The sequence below is a fragment of the Homo sapiens genome, chromosome 5 (genome assembly GCF_000001405.40).
Source record: "Homo sapiens chromosome 5, GRCh38.p14 Primary Assembly".
Classification (NCBI taxonomy): domain Eukaryota; kingdom Metazoa; phylum Chordata; class Mammalia; order Primates; family Hominidae; genus Homo; species Homo sapiens.
This window is the reverse complement of record NC_000005.10, coordinates 163,384,929-163,406,054: the sequence shown is the minus strand read 5'-3', so window position 1 is coordinate 163,406,054 and position 21,126 is coordinate 163,384,929. Positions and strand designations below refer to the sequence as shown.

Genomic DNA, 21,126 nt, shown 5'->3' with positions numbered 1-21,126 from the left:
AATGTACCTGATTTCTGCTTTCCTGATACTTGTGGAACACCCTGCTCAAAGCTGGAAAGTATTATTATACAATAGATGACTCTTAGCTGGAAAGTATTATTAGATAATAGATGACTCTTAGTCACTTACTCCTTTGTTGTAGATAAGGAAAATGTGGCAAACTAGAGCCATGGAATTGGACTTTCATGGCCCCCATGTCTCTGCTGAATTTTGTAACTTCAGAAAACAATTTGTAGATTGAGATCACAAAGTCTTATGTTTGATGTGTTGAATAAACCATGTTCTTCAAGATCTTCTCTTTCATTAGTATCCCTTGACCAGGCAGATTGGAATATTGTCCTAATCATGGAGACCATACGTTATCTTTCAGTTTCATAGTGATTACAAGCATGAGTTTTGGCACAGCCAGACTTGAGTCTGTGAGTTATTAAGAACAATTGGGGCCTGGTGTGGTGGCTCAAGCCTGTAATTCCAGCACTTTGGGAGGCCGACGCGGGTGGATCATGAGGTCAGGAGATCAAGACCATCCTGGCTAACAGTGAAACCCTGTCTCTACTAAAAATCCAAAAATAATTAGGTGGGCATGGTGGCATGTGCCTGTAATCCCAGCTACTCAGGAGGCTGAGGCAGGAGAATCCTTTGAACCCGGGAGGCAGAGATTGCAGTGAGCCGAGATTGCGCCACTGCACTACACTCCAGCCTGGGCGACAGAGGGAGACTCCGTCAAAAAAAAAAAAAAAGAAAAAAGAAAAATAAATAAATTAAAAAAAGGACAACTGGTATCCCAGTTCTACTGGTAACTTTGGAGAACTTATTTAACATCTCTGTACTACTGTTTCATCAGTAAATGGTGGGTAATAAGAGTAGTAAGCTAAACTATATCAGGTGCTTACAACAATTCATGGTACATAGTAGGTGCTTAATATAAGTGAGCTTCTACTATTATAGTAACGGCCGCAATAGTTCTGTCACTAACTCTGTGATCCTCTGTAAATTACTTGGCTTATGTAAGCTTTAGTTATCTCAATTGACAAATGAAAGAAAATAATTGTACCTACCTCCTGAGGCTCTTGTGCTGACTAAGGCAGAGAATAAATGAAGATCACTTGGCTTGGCATATAAATGCTTGGAAAAATGTTAGCTCTTTTTTTTTCTAAAATGACTCTTTTAAACTAAAGATCCTTCAAAATTCAATGGCAGTTATAGATCATTCATCTTCTGTACTTGATGTTGTTCATAGTGCCTGGGACATAGCAGTACTCAATAAATCTTTGATGAAAGCATACAGAAATAAATAACGTTAGAGACATAAAAGCCCATAAGTAGCTGAGGTGTGCACGCAACGGTGAAGTAAGTAAAGGTCATTTCGTTTTGTGTGTGTGTGTGTGTGTGTGCGCACGCATGTGTGTGTAAGGAGGGAGGGGGGAGAGAGAGGGAGGGAGAGAGAGGGATAACATATAAGAAAGTAAATGAAAAGCTTCATTGAATTCTAGTGAATTTTGTGCTTCCCTTGCTTATGTTTAATAAAGATCACACAGAAGGAAGCTTCAAAAAGACAATGCAGATTTTCACAAGTGGAAAAGGATATTCGCAGTTCTATGGCTATCGATTTCTCTGACAAATCACTCAAGTCCAGTGGAGTTATTCAAATAGATATCAGAATAGATTATTACTTCATTGGAAAAATTTAAAGCCAAAGAACACAGAACATTGGAGTTATATTTTTTGATCCTCTCCTTGATCATGTTCTTAGCTGAGCTTACCCTTTTATTCTCTTTCCACGTCTTTCTCAAAAGTTAGAGAAAAAAAAAACAGGTCAATCAATATTTACTTTGAAGATGAAAAGCTCTAGCTTTCTTAGAGTACATATTTTAAGCTGATGCCACTGAAATGAGAATACCTGAGCCCTCCACACCACATTCAGAAAGCTTTTATCTGTATTTACTACCAGTTAAATCGTTTTCAATAATTGACGATAAGAAATAATCAGCTCAGTTGTTGGGAGATCAGGCTTTAGTGTTTTTGTCATCACAATGTCAAAATTGTTGGACTAGTTAAAAAAATCATCATCTTTTAGAATTTTGCTTGTCCTTATTAAACAACTAGTTGGATTAAACCATCCACTTAATAAAAAACTAGTTAGGAGTGTGAACTTTTGGGTCACATAGCATGGCTTTGAATTCCGATTATACTGTCTCTCATTGGTGAGATTTTGTAATTTACTTAAATTTTCTGAGCCTCGGCTCCCTCATCTATAGAATGGAGATAATAATATCTGTCTCATATTGTTGTTGTAGAAATTAAATGAAGTAATGCATGTAGAGTGCTTGGCAGCATTGGCGTATTGCAAGTGCTCAATAAATAATAATTATCACCATCATTATGGAGCTGATTGGGCATCAGAGAGCTGGAGCCACTGATGAAGTCACTTCTGTAAGGGGAAAAGTCAGAGTGCACGTTTTTTCCAAGGTTGCTATTTTGCAAACTTTAATATTAATGCACTCAATTCAAGAAGAGCTTCAGAAAAATTGGATAGCTGCAGAGGAAAATTACCTAATCAACAATGCAATTTGAAAGGTTGCTTCAAATTACACCAAATGCTAAAACTGAATGGTTAGGGAATAAGAATATGAATATGTCATGCTCTGGATTATTTTATCTTCTCATTTGCACCCCACATACACTTTCTTAAAAAATATTGGTGACTAGAAGTTCTTTTCGTGATATGGGAAAGAATGTTTTGTATGTAAACTATCTCTTTGAAACTGATTACGACAACTTTTGCAGAGAGATTCCAGCATGTCAGAAGTTTCTAAACAGTTAAACACAAAGAAATACAAGTTCAGGGTAAAATATTTTAATATAATCGCTTCTACCACCAGGTGAAGATGTGTGGGTATTTGATTTAGGGGGAAAACTGATGATATTTCTGAGCCATTCTAATGAAACTCATATGAGTAAAAATATTTGAGGGCTTACTATTTTATAGACCTCGTATTTATGGCTGTCAAAATATTTCTGAAAGAGATTAAGAGCCTATTCATTTCTCTACTTGATGAAAGTTATTTATTTTACTTTATTTATTTTACTTTACTACACATTTTCAGGATAATCCACCAGCAGTTTTCATATAGAGAATGATTATTGAAAGTGATCAGTTCTAACTCTGACTTTTGCAGGAATTAGTCAAGTGTAAGGCTGATTTTTCTGCTTAGGCACTACTGGCAGACAGATTAGGGTTTTAGAAACTTTGTAGGAATTGTGTTTGAGACCTGAAAAAAAAATTGTTTAAACTGGCTCAAAGATACAAGAAAAACACACAAAAAAGGATGAATATTAAATCAAATACTCATAAAACATATTTTGTCAATTTTAATGATTCTTTAATATATTAGTCATAAGAATTGTATTCAATTTAAAATCTTTTTTAGATTTTCTTTCCTTGTAAGCATTTCTAAGTATTTGGGATGATTGCTTGTATAAATGAAGTATAATATATTACTTAGAGTCAAATAATTTAACAAATAAAATTTATAAAATGTTTTAGGATGTTATTACAGCCAAAATTATTTTTAATGAGGGATTTGAGATGCATTTTCCTATGATTGATATGATGAAAGGGGGAAAACTGTAGATGTAAGAGTGATTGTGGTCATCTCAAAAGATCCCTGGGCTGGTTTTTATGTTTAGCTGGATATTTCTCTCTACATGACCAATATGGTAGTGGTTGAGCACCATGGTGGGATTAAGGGCTAAAAGCAAAGACACCAAGCTCTATTTGTGCCTGTCCCATCATTAAGTCAACAGAAAATAAGCAAGGTAGTTGCTTTTCAGTCAATAATGTCAGCTGGGTACTGTACTGCTATAATGGCCTGTCAGCTCTGATCCACTTACATAGAAAAATAGTAGAGGTGAGGGGGAAATGCCGTTTTAGTCATTGTCCTGAGAATCGACATGCTGTTTCTCTGTAACCAAACCAGAAAAAACTGAAGCATAAGTGCTGATTTCTTGAATAGCCAGTGGAGCTCAATTATTAAAAGAAACACAAAATCTCCAATGTAATAACCAGTTTTAATTTTAGAGGGTATAATAGTTGCCTAGAATCAAGCCAACGCTTCAGATTGGGGAGTGAAGATTTTAGAACCCACCAATGTACTAAACTTGCACACGGCAATGAATTTAATTAATTGATTAATTTTGTAATAACGAAGAAAGCAAATCAAGTGCACTGAGTCCATATTTTCTGATTCTAACATAAGACAAGTAAGAGTCAGCTCCTTTATTCCTAATACTAGGTAAAAAATTCATTCTTGGTCTCTGCTTTAGCTTCTTTTGCTCGTTTTTTTCAATAAATATTTGTTGAGCCTTTTTTAAGTTGCTGGCACAATGCTTGGCATATAGCAGTGAGTCAGTTAGTTAAGCTTCCTTGTCTTATTTAGCTTATGTAGAACACAGCACTGGTCATTCACACTGTGATGGGCACAAGTAAATGAGCCGCCAGGGTGTAAGATAATAAGTTGTTTGGGTTCACGATGGGTGATCCAGGATGCCCCTGCAGAGGAAGTGACTCATAAGCCAATAACTGAGGGATGAGAATAAGCCAGTCAGTTGAAGAGATGAGGAAGAGCATTCCAGGGAGGGGAACAGCAGGTGCAAAGATTGAGAGGTAGGAAAGAGCAGCTCTGTCTTTGGTGAACGGCACAGTAAGGAAAGCGTCAGGAAGAGTAGGGAAACAAACAAAAAAACACAATTCTCTATTTATTTTGCAAATACTTTTTAGGAGGCATTTTACTAAGCACTTTTAGGGATAGAAAGAAGATTAAGATGTAATCCTTGCCCTCAACAACAGAAAAAGATTATTATTTCGTTAGTATAGATTAATTCTATAAATCAATGGATATACTGTAGCTTTATATATGTGGATAATATATCTCTTTTTTTTTTTTTTTTTTTTTTTTTTTTTTGAGACAGAGTCTCACCCTGTCACCTAGGCTGGAATGCAGTGGTAGGATCTCAGCTCATGCAACCTCTGCCTCCTGGGTTCATGCGATTCTCCTGCCTCAGCTTCCCGAGTAGCTGGGATTACAGGCATGAGCAACAAGGCCTGGCTAATTATTGTATTTTTGTATTAGAGATGGGGTTTCGCCATGTTGGCCAGGCTAGTCTGGAACTTTTGACCTCAGGTGATCCACCCATCTCGGCTTCCCAAAGTGCTAGGATTACAGGCATGAACCACTGCACCTGGCCATATATCTCAAATTAAATTTGTCTAATAAACAGAAAAAAAATAGTTTTTAAGACAGAAATGATTGGATTTTTTAAGATACAGTTTTTTAAAGATAAGATATAGCCATATGAAGAAGCTGAGCAGTTGCCCCAAAATCCGTAATTCTTTTTGATCTCATGGTCTTAAAAATCTCAGATTTCCACTGTTACGTGACCTCTGGAAGGGGGCTTTTACCTTTCTGTGCTTCAAATACATCATCTGAAAAATGAAGGTTTTGTGTGGAACCTAGCTGTTGATTCAAATTGATTCGGGAACTGAATGATGTGTCCACATAACTGTTGCCAAATAATTACCAAAAAAAAAAAAAAAGGACACAGTTTCCAAATGTATTCTGTTTCTTCTTGCTGACATTTTCTTGGGGAAAATGGAAAGATTAGAATAGACGAATAGACATACAGTAATAAAAATTTGTTGATCTACTACTTTGTCCAGCTACTGGGGCAAGCACTTTATACGGTTTACTAGAGATTTCTTCTAGTGCTATCTTTTTGAAGAAAAACCTAAGTGGGATACTTGTAGTCTGGAATTGTTGATAAGGGGAGCTCTGAGGGCTTTAAAACACAAAAGCTATTTAGCCAGAGGGTAAAAAGGAGAAATCAAGCAAGGCAAGATACTAACATTTATTGAGTGTGTACTTTGTGCTGATTCAACACTATATTCTTTGTTTTTGTTTTTGAGATAATGTCTTGCTCTGTCCCTCAGGCTGGAGTGAAGTGGTAGGATCTCGGCTCATTGCAACCTCTGCCTCCCGGGTTCAAGCGATTCTTGTGCCTCAGCCTCCCACATAGCTGGGACTACAGGTGCACACCACCATGCCCAGCTAATTTTTGTATTTTTTGTAGAAATGGCGTTTTGCCATGTTGCCCAGGCTGGTCTTGAGCTCCTGGGCTCAAGTGATCTGCCTGCCTCAGCCTCCCAAATTGCTGGGATTAACAGGTGTGAGCCATTATGCCTGACCCAATACTGTATTCTTTACTTACATCTCATTCAATTTTCCCGACAAGCTTTAAGAGGAAAGTGTGATCATTGCCTTTCACAGATGAAGATATCAGTTCTGATGAAGAAAGCAAAACATAAGGAGGTTAAGGAACTCGTCCTTAGGCAGATACCTGGTAAGTAGCACAGGTGACATTGAAACTCCCATTTCTTAGAATCACAAATGTGGGCTATTTCCATGAAGAGAAACCAAGTTTTAGATGGGAAGATAGATGATTTCTAGATGTTTTTGTAATTCCTACTATTTTTGGCTTTACTCTTTGGCCATATTTTAATTTTTTTATCCCTACATCCACATTTTTCACATATACAAAACATTATTGGTGTGTTTGCTTCTTTTGAAGTTAAAAATCCTTTTTATTTTTTCTTTTATTTTTATTTGTTATTATTTATTTATTTATTTATTTGAGATGGAGTCTCACTCTGTCACCCAGGCTGTAGTGCAGTGGCACAATCTCGACTCACTGCAACCTCCACCTTCTGGGTTCAAGCAATTCTCCCTGCCTCAGCCTCCCAAGTAGCTGGGATTACAGGTGTGTGCCACCATGCCTGTTTCATTTTTGTTTTTTTTTTTTTAGTAGAGATGGAGTTTCACCATGTTGGCCAGTCTGGTCTTGAATTCCTGACCTCAGGTGATCCACCTGCCTCAGCCTCCCAAAGTACTGGAATTACAGGCATGAGCCACTGCACTTGGCCTCTTTTATTTTTAATTAACAAATAATAACTGTGTGTGTTTATGGGGTATAATGTGATGATTTGATCTAGGTATACATTATAAAAAGGTTCAATCAAGTTAATTAACATATCCATCAACTCACCAACTTATCACTTTGTGGTGAAGAGAATGTTAAAAATCTATTTTTTTAGCAATTTTGAAATACACAATACATTATTTTAAGCTGCGCAGTGCAATAGATCACTAAAACATATTCCTCCTGTCTAGCTGAAACTTTGTGCTCTTTGATCAACATCTTCCCTTTTCCCCTTCCTTGCTTTTTCCAGCAGACTCTGATAACTAACGTTCTACTCTCTGTTTTTAACTGAGATCATACCTTGTTTGCCTTTCTGTGTACTGGCGTATATTTCCAAATTTCCTTTACTTTTTTCTTAGATCATTTTAATATATCCGTCTTTTCCTCCGGTTTTCCCTTTGCTGTTTATGACCAAAGGCTGATTGATGAAAGGTTAACAATTCTCTAATTAACATATTAAATAGACTTTTATCCCTCCTGCCAATGTTGAAGCAACTGATTATCAGCCCTGTTTGGGAGCAGAGAAAGTTGACCTCAGATAGACCAATAGAGCCCGTCAAAGAGAAAAACGAAGAAGTGGGGTCTCCCAACTCCCTCAGTTCCAGGCCAATCTGTTATAATTGCTTAAGAACAAGGACTCAAATACTTGGAGTCTTCACTGATGCAGAGCTTCAGAAATAATGATTACAGCAAATCAGGGCTCATGAATATGCAGCTTATTTCTGCTTTGAGACACTTGAGTTATCTAAATTAAAAATACAAAATTATGGATTGCAAAGAAAGCAGCAGGAACTTTTTTATTTTAACAATTGGAAAATATCACTGGAAATGAAGTCTTCCTGCCAACATGAAGCACATAATAATCATGCCAGGAAAAGGATGTTTTTCTAAATGCTTGTTTTAAATAGATTTTCCCCCAAAAATTCTGTTTAAAGATAGACTACGGAAGCTCTAATTCATGTGATTTTTCTCTTTGTGGATTTCAGTTTCAGGGTTATTCATTTTGGGACAGAGTCTAACACCATCTCATTCACAAGATGTTCCTTAGAGTCAGCTTCTACCTTCAGAAATCCTGAAATAAAGAGGCTTGATTTTGGTGTTTTTTCCTTTTCTGTTGTTTTCAGAGTCTCTTCCATGTTCTTAAGATTGGTCTGTCAAAGACCTTCCATTCTACTAGGCTTAAACTTCCAGACCCTACCTTCATGTTTTAGACCTTATCTCTCCCCACTTTTGGTTTATCAAGATGATTTATTTGGTACTCTGTTTATTCAGAATCTTTTGAAGCAATATGGTTAATAAACAAGTGTGTGTATGTGTGTGTGTTAATATTTATACTTTTTCAGGTTACTATTTTCTTTTTACAAGTTAAATTTGCAAACCCCATTTTTGAATGTCTGAGCTTGCAACACCAGGTGGCTACCACATGGATAGAATTGCCTGGATCACATGGCAACTATCAGAGGTAGGAACACATGACTGTAATAAATCTTTTAAAAGGAGGTGTGTGTGTGTGTTTGAGGAAATAATTAAACCAAAGCATAGTGTTTAGAAATACAGAGGATGGTTGGAAAATATATATCAGTTGTTTTTCCATTCCTCTTTTCAGTGACTATGGCTGAGATTTCTGTGACACCCTTTTCCACTATCTCAGAATAATTATTAACATAAGACCTGAGCAGCATCTATCGGTTAATAATGAATGGCAATGGGGACAAAATCATATATTCTTCTTCATATAGAGCAAGCTTAAAACAACAACAACACTGGAATAAAACAAGGATGCTTACTTTCGCCACTCTTACTCAACATAGGACTGGAAGTCCTAGCCAGATCAATCAGGCAAGAGGAAGAAATAAAAGGCATACAAACTGGAAAAAAGGAAGTCCAATTGTTCCTCTTTTCAGATGACATGATCTTAATATACAGAAAAACCTAAAGATTTCTACCAGCTGGGCATGGTGGCTCACGGCTGTAATCCCAGCACTTTGGGAGGCCGAGGCGGGTAGATCACAAGGTCAGGCGTTCGAGACCAGCCTGGCCAACATAGTGAAACCCCGTCTCTACTAAAAATACAAAACTTAGGTGGGCATGGTGGTGCACACCCATAGTTCCACCTACTCAGGAGGCTGAGGCAGGAGAATCACTTGGACCTGGGAGGCGGAGGTTATGGTGAGATGAGATGGTGCCACTGCACTCCAGCCTGGGCAACAGAGTGAGACTCTATCTCGAAACAAACAAACAAACAAACAAACAAAAAAAAAAAGAAAGAAAAGATTTCTACCAAAGACTTCACCAAAAATCTCTTAGAACTGATAAACAAATTCAGTAAAGTCGTAGCATATAAAATCAACATAAAAAACATCAGTAGCTTCCTCAGGAGAAATCAGTTGGGATGGGAGTAATTAGTAGCATTTTTTTCTTCTTTTTAAAGAAATAATTTCAATTTTTATTTTAGATTCAGTGGGGGTACATATGCAGGTTTGCTATATGGGCATATTGTGTGATGCTGAGGTTTGGGGTATGAATGATCTTGTTACCTAGGTAGTGAGCATAGTACCCAAAGGGTACTTTTTTAACCCTTGCTGCTTGCCCCTTGTCTACCCTCTAGTAGTCCCCATTGTCTATAGTTCCCACCTTTACATCTATAAGGGCCCAGTGTTTAACTCCCGCTTATAAGTGAGAACATGTGGCATTTGATTTTCTGTTCTGCATTAATTTACTTAGAATGATGTCCTTCAGCTCCATCAGTGTTGCTGCAAAAGTCATAATTTTATTCTTTATTACAGCTGCACGCTATTCCATAGTGTATATGTACCACATTTTCTTTATTGAATCCACTATTTATGGGCACCTAGGCTGATTTCATGTGTTTTCTATTGCAAATGCTGCTGCGCTGTACATACGTGTGCATGTTCTTTTTGGTAGAATGATTTATTTTTCCTTTGCCTGTATACCTAGTAATGGGATTGCTGGGTTGAGTGGTAGCTCTGTTTTTAGTTCTTTGAGAGATTTCCAAACTGCTTTCCACAGTGCTGAACTAACTTATATTCCCACCAACATTTCAGTGTTCCCTTTTCTCTGTAGTCTTCTCAGGATCTGTTATTTTTTGTCTTTTTAATAATAGTCATTCTGACTGGTGTGAGATGGTATGGCATTGTGGTTTTAATTTGTATTTCTCTGATTATTAGTAATGTTGAGTATTTTTTCATATGTAATTGACTGTATGTCTTCTTTTGACAGGCATCTGTTCATATATTTTGCCCATTTTTAATGGGGTTATTTGGTTTTTGTTCGTTCAGTTGTTTAAGTTCCTTAAGGTTCTGGATATTAGACCTTTGTCAGATGCATAGTTTGCAAGTATTTTCTTTCATTCTGTAGGTTGTCTGTTTACTCTGTTGATAGTTTCTTTTGCTGTACAAAACCCTTTTTTTTTATTTCAATAGGTTTTTGGGGAACAGGTGGTGTTTGGTTACATGGATAAGTTCCTTAGTGGTGATTTCTGAGATTTTGGTGCACTCATCAGCTGAGCAGTGTTCACTGCACCCACTGTGTAATCTTTTATCCTCCACCCTCCTCCCACCCCTTCCCCCTAGTTCCCAAAGTCCATTGTATGATTCTTATGCCTTTGTGTCTTCATAGCTTAGCTCCCACTTAAAAGTGAGAAATACGATGTTTCGTTTTCCATTCCTGGGTTACTTAACTTAGAATAATGGTCTGCAACTCCGTCCAGGTTGCTGCAAATGCCATTATTTTGTTTCTTTTTATGGCTAAGTAGTATTCCATGGTGTGTGTGTGTGTGTGTGTGTGTGTGTGTGTGTGTATCACGTTTTCTTTATCCACTCATGATGGATGGGCATTTGGGCTGGTTCCATATTTTGCCAGTGTGAATTGTGCTGCTATGAACATGTGGGTGCAAGTGTCTTTTTCATATTGTGACTTATTTTCCTTTGGGTAGATCCACAGTAATGGGATTGCTACATCATATGGTAGATCTACTTTTAGTTTTTTAAGGAATCTCCATACTGTTTTCCATAGTAGTTGCACTAGTTTGCATTCCCACCAACAGTGTAAAAGTATTCCCTTTTCACCACACCCACACCAACATCTATTATTTTTTATTGTTAAATTATGGCTATTCTTGCAGGAGTAAGGTGGTATCACGTTGTGGTTTTGATTTGCATTTCCCTGATAATTAGTGACGTTGAGCATTTTTCATATGTTTGTTGGCCATTTATATATCTTTTGAGAATTGTGTATTCATGTCCTTAGCTCACTTTTTAATAGGATTATTTGTTTTTTTCTCGCTGATTTATTTGAGTTCCTCATAGATTCTGGATATTAGTTCTTTGTTGGATGCATAGTTTGCAAAATTTTTTCCCACTGTGTGGGTTGTCTGTTAACTCTGCTGATTATTTCTTTTGCAGTGCAGAAGCTTTTTAGTATAATTAAGTCCCATCTATTTATCTTTGTCTTGGTTGCATTTGCTTTTGGGTTCTTGGTCATGAAGTCTTTGCCTAAGCCAATGTCTAGAAGGGTTTTTCTGATGTTATCTTCCAGATTTTTTATGGTTTCAGGTCTTAGATGTAAGTCTTTGATCCATCTTGAGTTGATTTTTGTATAAGGTAAGAGATGAAGATCCAGTTTCATTCTTCTACATGTGGCTTGCCAATTATCCCAGGACCATTTGTTGAATAGGGTGTTCTTTTCCCATTTTATGTTTTTGTTTGCTTTGTTGAAAATCAGTTGGCTGTAAGTGTTTGGCTTTTTTTCTGGGTTCTCTATTCTGTTCCATTGGTGTATGTGCCTATTTTTATACCAATACCATGCTGTTTTAGTGACTATAGCCTTATACTATAGTTTGAAGTCAGGTAATGTGATGCCTCCAGATTTGTTCTTTTTGCTTAGTCTTGCTTTGGCTATGCAGGGTCTTTTTTGGTTTCATATGAATTTTAGGATTTTTTTTCTAGTTCTGAGAAAAATGATGATGGTATTTTGATGGGAATTGCATTAAATTTGTGGATCACTCTTGGTAGTATGGCCGTTTTGACAATATTGATTCTAGCTACCCATGAGCATGGGATGTGTTTCCATTTGTTTGTGTTGCCTATGAGCTATTTCAGCAGTGTTTTGCAGTTTTTCTTGCAGAAGTCTTTCACCTGCTTGCATAAGTATATTCCTAAGTATTTTATTTTCAAAAACTCTATTGTTTAATTAGGTCCCACTTGGCAATTTTTCTTTTTGCTGCAATTGCTTTTCAGGACTTAGTAATAAATTATTTGCTGAGGCCAATGTCTAGAATGGCATTTCCTAGATTTTATTCTGGAATTTTTATAGTTTGAGGTCTTACATTTAAATCTTTAATCTAATCCGTCTTGAATTAATTTTTGTATCCAGTGAAAGGTAGGGGTTTAGTTTCATTCTTCTGCATATAGATATTCAGTTTTTCCTTTTATTAAATAGGAAGTCCTTTCTCAATTCCTTATTTTTGTCAACTTTGTCAAAGATTAGATGGCTGCAGGTGTGCAGCTTTATTTCTGGGTTCTCTGTACTTTTCTGTTGATCTATGTGTCTGTTTCTGTACAAGTATCATGCTGTTTTTGTTACTGTAGCCTTGTAGTATAGTTTTAAAATTGGGTAATGTGATGCCTCCAGCTTTGTGTATGTGTGTATGTGTGTGTGTGTGTGTTTGTGTGTGTGTGTGTTTTGTTTAGGATTGCTTTGGCTATTCAGGCCCATTTTTGGTTCCATATGAATTTTACAAGACTTTTTTCTTTTTTTTTTTTTCCTAACCTGTTCCCCCACACCAAACAAAGGTGTCCCTATTTCTAGTCCCTCATGGCAGCTCTCTCATTCTCTGCCTTGATCTCCCCTATGTCATCTCTTTCCTGAAACTTCCTCTTTAAAATCCTTCACACGGGGGTTCCACCCCAACCTCTCCTTGGGAAAAGGAAAATATCTTAGGAAGATCTCTTCTTGGCATAGAGTGTTGTAGGGAAGTGGGTTGGGAGATGATGGGTTCTACCTGAATTTACCTTACATTAAATTATAATTTCACAATTGTGAAATATTTAATTTTTTTCTAGAAGACTTTTTTCTAATTCTGTTAAAAATGATGTTGGCAGTTTGATAGGAATAGCACTGAATCTATAGATTTCTTTGGGCAGGATGGCCATTTTTACAATATTAATTCTTCTAATCCATGAGCCTGGAATATTTTTCGATTTGATTGGGTCATGTCTGATTTCTTTTAGCAGTGCTTTGTAGTTCTCCTTGTAGAGATCTTTCATTTCTTTGATTAGATGTATTTTCTAGGTACTTTTTTCATGTGTGTCTGTGGCTATTGTAAATGGGATTGTGTTCTTGATTTGGCTTTCACCTTCAATGTTATTGGTATATAGAAATGATCGGTAGCATGTCTGCACACTGGTAATGAATTAGCTGAAAAAGAAACCAAGAAAGCAATCCCATTGACAATTGCTACCAAAACAAACAAACAAATAAAACAAAAGAAAACAAAATAAACCTAGGAATAAATTTAACTAAGAAGGTGAAATAACTCTACAAGAAAAACTGTATAAAACACTGGTGAAAGAAATTGAGGAGGACACAAATGGAAGAATCTCCCATGCTTTTGGATCAGAATTAATATAGTTAAGATGACCACACTACCCAATACCATCTATAGATTCAATGCAATTCCTATCAAAGTACCAATGCTGTTTTTAAAATACAAAAATAGAAAAAAAAATCCTTCAATTTATATGAAATCACGGAAAAAAAACGAATAGCCAAAACAATACTGAGTAATTTACATTTCTCTAATGACCAGTGATGATGAGGCCTTTTTCATACGTTTATTGGCCTTAATGTCTTCTTTTGTCTGCTCATATTTTTTGCCCAGTTTTTGATGGGGTTGTTGTTTTTTTTTCTTGTAAATTTGTTTAAGTTCTTTGTAGATTCTGGATATTAGCCCTTTGTCAGATAAATAGATTGCAAAAATTTTCTCCCATTCTGTAGGTTGTCTGTTCACTCTGATGATAATTTCCTTTGCTGTGCAGAAGTCCTTTAGTTTAATTAGATCCCATTTGTCAATTTCGGCTTTTGTTGGCATTGCTTTTGGTGTTTTAGTCATGAAGTCTTTACCCATGCCTGTGTCCTGAATGGTATTGCCTAGGTTTTCTTCTAGGGTTTTTATGGTTTTAGGTCTTATGTTAAGTCTTTAATCCATCTTGAGTTAATTTTTGTATAAGATGTAAGGAAGGGGTCCAGTTTCAGTTTTCTGCATATGGCTAGCCAGTTTTCCCAACACCATTTATTAAATAGGGAATCTTTTCCCCATTGCTTGTTTTTGTCAGGTTTGTCAAAGGAATGAGATACCATCTCACGCCAGTTAGAATGGCGATCATTAAAAAGTTAGGAAACAACAGATGCTGGAGAAGATGTGGAGAAATAGGAATGCTTTTACACTGTGGGTCGGAGTGTAAATTAGTTCAACCATTGTGAAAGACATTGTGGCGATTCCTCGAGGATCTAGAACTAGAAGTACTATTTGACCCAGCAATCCCATTACTGGGTATTTACCCAAAGGGTTATAAATCATTCTGCTATAAAGACACATGCACATGTATGTTTATTGCAGCACTGTTCACAATAGCAAAGTCTTGGAACCAACCCAAATGTCCACCAACGATAGAGTGGCTAAAGAAAATGTGGCACATATGCACCATGGAATACTATGCAGCCATACAAAAGGATGAGTTCATGTCCTTTGCAGGGACATGGATGAAGCTGGAAACCATCATTTTCAGCAAACTAACACAGGAACAGAAAATCAAACATTGCATGTTCTCACTTATAAGTGGGAGTTGAACAATGAGAACATGTGGACACAGGGAGGGGAACATCACACACTGGGGAGTGTTGGGGGATGGGGGGCTAGGGAGGAATTGCTTTCGGAGAAATATCTAATGTAAATGACAAGTTGATGGGTGCAGTAAACCACCATGGCACGTGTATACCTGTGTAGCAAACCTGCATGTTTTGCACATGTGTCCCAGAACTTAAAGTACAATTAAAAAAAATTTAATACAGATGAGATCAGGAGCATATGTGTATAATTACATAAGCCATGTATGTTTTATATGAGCATAGAAAGAAATGTAAAAATAAATGCACAAAATTGACTTTTTTATATACTCTTCTGTTACTTGGCTTTGAAAAAATAATGTTCTTATTTTTGAATTTTAAAAGAAAACTGCAATAAAATGTGAATATGTTAAAAAAAAAAGCACCAAAAAAATACTGAGTAAAAAGAACAAAGCTGAAGGCATCATCCTATCTGACTTCAAAATATACTACAAAGGTATCATAACCAAAACAGCATGGTATTGATATAAAAACAGACACATAGACCAATGGAACAAAAACAGAGAACCCACAAATAGATCCACATATTTACAGCCAAATGAGTTTCAGCAAAGGCACCAAGGGCATACTACAGGAAAAGGACGCTCTCTTCAATAAGTAGTGCCAGGAAAACTGGATATCCATTTGCAGAAGAATAAAACTAGACTTCCTATTAGAGTTTGGAGGATATGTGGAGGGAGAGGATCAGGAAAAAATAACTAATAGGTACTAGGTTTAATACCTAGGTGATGAAATAATCTATACAACAAACTCCCATGAAACATGCTCACTTAAGTAACAAACCTGCACATGTACCCCTGAATTTAAAGTAAAAGTATAAAATACTTTTATATTATATATATTAAAAAGTATATATAAAGTATATATAGTATATATGTAAAAATATGTACAGTATACATAGAGTATCTATAAAAAAAGAAACTAGACTTCTATATCTCATGATATTAAAAAAATCCTCAAAATGTATGAAAGAATTAAACATAAAACCTAAATTGATAAAATTACTAGAAGAAAACAGGAAAATACTCCAGAACGTTGGTCTAGGTAAAGATTTTGAGGCAAGCCCTCAAAAGCACAGACAGCAAAACAAGAAATAGACAAACGGGACTATATTAAATTAAAAAGCTTCTACATAGCAAAGGAATCAATCAACAGAGTAAAGAGACAACTTACAAAATGAGACAAAATACTTGCAAAATATTTATCAACAAAAGAATCATATCCAGAATGTATGAGGAACTCAAACAACTAAACAGCAAAAATACAGATAATCCCATTAAAAAGTGGGCAAAAAATCTAAATAGACATTTCTCCAAAGAAGACATATAAATGACCAACAGGTATATAAAAAAATTGCTCAACATCACTAATTATCAGAGAAATGCAAATCAAAACCACATGGAGAAACCATCTTACCCCAGTCAGATTGGCTATTACCAAAAAGACAAAAAATACCAAATGCTGGCTAAGATGTGAAGAAAAGGAAATGCTTACACACTGTTGGTGGGAATGTAAATTAGTACAGTCATTATGGAAACAGTATGGTGATTTCTTAAAAAACTAAAAATAGAACCACTACAGGATCTAGCAATCCCACTGTTGAGTATTTATCCAAAGGAGAAGAAGCCAATATATTAAAGGGGTACATGTATTCCTATATTTATTGCAGCACTATTCACAGTAGCCAAGATATGGAATCAACAGTTCCATCAGCAATTCAACAGATAAAGAAAATGTGGTATATATACAAAATGTAATACTATTTGGCCATCAAAAGTAATAAAATCATCTCATTTGCAGCCACATGGATGGAACTAGAGGTTATTATGCTAAGTGAAATAAGCCAGGCACAGGAAGACAAATATTGCATGTTCTTACTCATGTGTGGAAGCTATAAAAGTGACTCTCATGGAGTAGAGAATAGAGTGGTAATTACCAGAGACTGCAAAGCATGGTAGAAAGATACAGAGAGGTTGGTTAATGGGTATAAATATACAGTTAGATAGAAGGAATACATTCTCATATTTAATAGCTCAGTAGGATGACTATAGTTTTAACAATAATTTTTTGAATTTCAAAATAGCAAGAAAAGATTTGAAATGTTCCCAACACAAATAAATAATAAATGTTGGAGTTGAAGGATATCCTAAATATCTTGATGTGATTATTATACATTTTATATATGTATCAAAATATCACATGAGTAGCAGAATTATTTACACTCATTATGTAATAATTAGAAAAAAGAAGAGGATGAGGTAGAGGACACAGACACATAAGGAGGAAGAAGGCCATGTGGCCAAGGCTGTAGAAGCCCGCTTCTGGCATCAGCGAACATGACCTGGATGTGAGACATGGAGTCAAAGAAGATCATTTTGGGACTTTAAGGTTTAATGACTGCCCTATTGTATTTTGGACTTTCATGGGGCCTGTAACCCCTTTGTTTTGGCCAATTTCTCCCATTTGGAATGGGAGCATTTAGCCAATGCCTGTACCCCCATTGTGTCTAGGAAGTAAGTAACTTGCTTTTGATTTTGCAGGCTCATAGGCAGAAGAGACTTGCCTTGTCTCAGATGAGGCTTTGGACTTGGACTTTTGAGTTAATGCTGGAATGAGTTAAGACTTTGGGGGATTGTTGGAAAGGCATGATTGTGTTTTGAAATGTGAGGACATGTGATTTGGGAGGGGTCAAGGGTGGAAAGATAAGGTTTGGCTGTGTCCCCACTCAAACCCCATCCTGAATTGTAGTTCCCATAATCTCCGCATGTTGTGGGAGAGACCCAGTGCAAGGTAATTGAATCATGGGGGCCGTTACCCTCATGCTGTGCTCGTGATAGTGAGTGAGTTCTCACAAGATCTGATGGTTTCATAAGCAGCTTTTCCCCTTTTTTGCTGGGCACTTCTCCTTGTTGCCACTATGTGAAGAAGGACATGTTTGCTTCCCCTTTCACCATGATTGTAAGTCTCCTTAAGTCCCCTGAGGCCTCCCCCAGCCATGCTGAACTGTGAGTCAATTAAACTGCCTTCCTTTATAAATTGCCCAGTCTTGGGTATGTCTTTATTAGCAGCATGAGAAGGGACTAATACACCATGTGAAGATAAAGGCAGAATTGGAATTAAGATGCTGCAAGGAAAACTTGGGGATTTAAAAGCTGAACAAATCATGGAAATGTTTCTTTCCTAGAGCTTATGGTCCCTACTGACCTTGGACTTCTAGCCTCCAGAATTGTGAGAGAATAAATTCCTGTTGTTTTAAGTCCCCCTACCCCCACTCCTCAAAAACAATAAATCAAGGCTTTGACTGACCTGGCTGGTGACCTGGTGCTGTGCTGTAGGAAGAGACAGAAGATTCTCAGCTACAGGAGTAGAGCCGAGGTAGGAGTAGGGAGGTAGTATGAATAGAGAAATTTAGTGGACGTGATTTCAAAGTCAGTAGGTAAGAATGTTTTACTTCTATGTGACTCTCAGGACTATAAAGCAAATTATTTCAGAATGTATTACTTTAATGTGATTCTCAGGAATATAAAGGAAAATAAAAAATTAAAAATGTTGGATGACTGCCATTTTTCTTCGAGACAGGGTCTCCCTTTGTTGCCCAAGCTGTACTTGAACTCCTGGGCTCAACTGATACCCCTGCCTCACCCTCCCAAGTAGCTGGGACTATAGGTACATGCCACGGTGCCTGGCTCTCCTGTGATGTTTAAATGTAATATCACTTGATGCAATATATTTGTAGTTGTAAATGAAACTTTACTCCTTAAAGTAAGGAGGACACTTGACTCCTTAAAGTTCATATAATTTCCACTGGACACTATTTTGCTGTTAGCTCAAGTGTTCATTTGTTTTAACATATATGGAGGATTAAAGTGTGTCTACAATTATGGAGTTCAAACTGATGTCTAAACTAATATAACTGTGAATACCTTAAATAACAAACACAGTTAAATGCAGCACAATTAGTTAAATAAAATTCCAGTGGCTCAAAAGTATAATGTTGTTGACAGGTCGTTGTCATGGGAATCAGAATTCCTGACATGGATGTTTGACCTGGAGCAGACTACCCAAAGTTTCTTTTTGGTCTCAGCTTCTATATGTAAAATAAAGGTATTGGACGCAAGAACAAACCAAACCAAACCAAAAAAAAAAGAAAAGAAAAAAGGCAATGCGTGAAGAGTCAAATCTCAAAGGAATGGGGCATGCAAAGAGGCAATAGTGAAACCTGAAGTGAAAGGAATGTCAGCCAGATGGATTGGGCAGATTTGGGAGAGTAGAGGGGCTGAAATTTAAAAGATTCCTGAAGCTTTGAACTTTTATTTCTGCTGAGAACACATGCACCTCAATGCCTTTTCCAAATGCTCTCCATACCATCTACCTATACAATACAATTTGGCATTTGCCATTTTGAATGCATAGGTTGGCACATGTACCATGCTCTTTGCATTCTTCAGTGAGCTTCTGCAATTGACAAACAGCTACATTTTGTAACAAAAAGATAACAGAGGCAAGAACAGGACCATAGGCTTCTCCTAGAACCCTTGTTTTTTGAATGATGCAATAACCCTGAACCCAATTTTATTTCTGTGCCTGTTAGTGACTCCCAAGGAGGTTGGAATGGCAACAAAGTCCAGACTTTCCAGGCTGAGGGCCAATTGGTAACTGCCTTCACTGCATCCTGCTTTCTTGCTACCTATTGGAGAAACAATTGAATTTCATGATCAGATTGGCCAATGAATAAGTAGCTATGGACCATATAATTCTGCCAAAACTGTACACTGACCTATGGAAAAAGCTGCTTGGAGTCATAGCGTCAGGGATATCAGATTTATAACTCTTCACTAAAGTTCTGATTTATTTTCTTGGCTAGGTGGGAGGCTAATGCATCTGAAACAGAAAAGTTGAAAAACCTTAGTCTCCTAGGCAGGTACTGGATCCCAACCCTACCTGACATATACTATTACAGATAGTAAAGATTGCTACTCTTGCATTTCCAACATTATCTTCCCTTCCCTACCCCCCAGCACTTGCATAAGAGGGAACATGAACCCTCATAGAACTGAGCAGGAGGATTAGGGCAGATAATAAATCTCGGGCTGATTTGGTTAGCAGGCAGTCACAGGTTAGCAGGGGAAAACCTAGCCTTTTTCTGGTCTCTTCTCTATGGACCAGCAAACAGAGTGAAATGGAAGTGTAGTCTTTTTTGGTGAAAGGTGGTCTAAACTCCTCTACTTGAAATCAGGCTTACTTCCCAATGACTAGCCAAAACTGAGGGTTGAGACTGTTATCTGCATAATTTAGGGACCAGGAAGGAATCTAACTTTACTTATAAAACATAGTGGAATTTTGGGCCTGTGTTGTGAAGACAGTACCTTCAATTTCTGATTATTTGGTCTGGAGAGAATAGACTAAACTCTTCGTTAGAGTAAATGTAGGAATAAAAGATTAAAGTTGTTTTCAGAGGGAATGTATTCCGTCTTTCATTTCTTACATGATGTTTCTTGCTTAATGCATTAGTTTCCTTGGGCTGCCATAGCAAAGTACTGTACACTGAGTGGCTTATGCAACAGACATGTATTGTCTCACAGTTCCGGAGGTTGGAAATCCACGATCACATTTTTGGCAGAGTTGATTCCCTCTGAGACTTGAGAGGGAGACTCTCGCCTGGCTTCTGGTGGTTTGTTGGCAATGTTTGCTGTTCCTTGACTTGTAGAATCATCACATTGCTCTCTGCCTGAATTTTCATGTAGTATTCGCTCTCTGTGTCTTGCTGTCTCAAAATTTCCACTTTTTATAAGAACATCAGTCATACTAGATTAGAGCCTACCCTAATGACCTTATCTTAACTTGATTACCTCTGTAAGGGCCCTTTCTCCAAATAAGGTCACATCCTGCAGTTCAGGGGGTTAAGACTTGAACATATGAATTTTTTAGGAAACAAACGTATAACACTTAAATATATTGTATGGATTCCTGATATTCTTACTGAATATATAATTATAAAACCATAATCCTATAGTCTAAATGCCACTGACTTTATTAAAAGAGTCTAGGTGAATACGTTTTTAAAATATATTTTCCTTTTTCTAACTTGAAACGAGAGAGTCAGAATTTATCAATATCTATCCAGCATTGTGTTGAAACTGGGTTGTAATGCTTTTTCCTATCTGG

At 36.9% G+C, this 21,126-nt stretch overlaps 1 long non-coding RNA gene across 5 annotated transcripts in view; it reads left to right on the top strand.

Annotated features, from left to right (window-relative positions):
• Window positions 1-21,126, top strand: part of LOC105377700 (uncharacterized) — a 348,217-nt gene that overhangs the window by 31,268 nt on the left and 295,823 nt on the right. Inside the window, exons 2-3 of one of the 5 annotated variants that reach the window (XR_001742963.1) lie at window positions 6,327-6,399; window positions 8,642-8,974. The exons of 3 other annotated variants lie outside the window; for them this stretch is intronic. This is a non-coding gene — a long non-coding RNA (uncharacterized LOC105377700). Of the gene's footprint in view, window positions 1-6,326; window positions 6,606-8,641; window positions 8,975-21,126 lie in introns of those variants that run through there. One more of the 5 variants, XR_001742962.3, reaches the window with a different exon arrangement.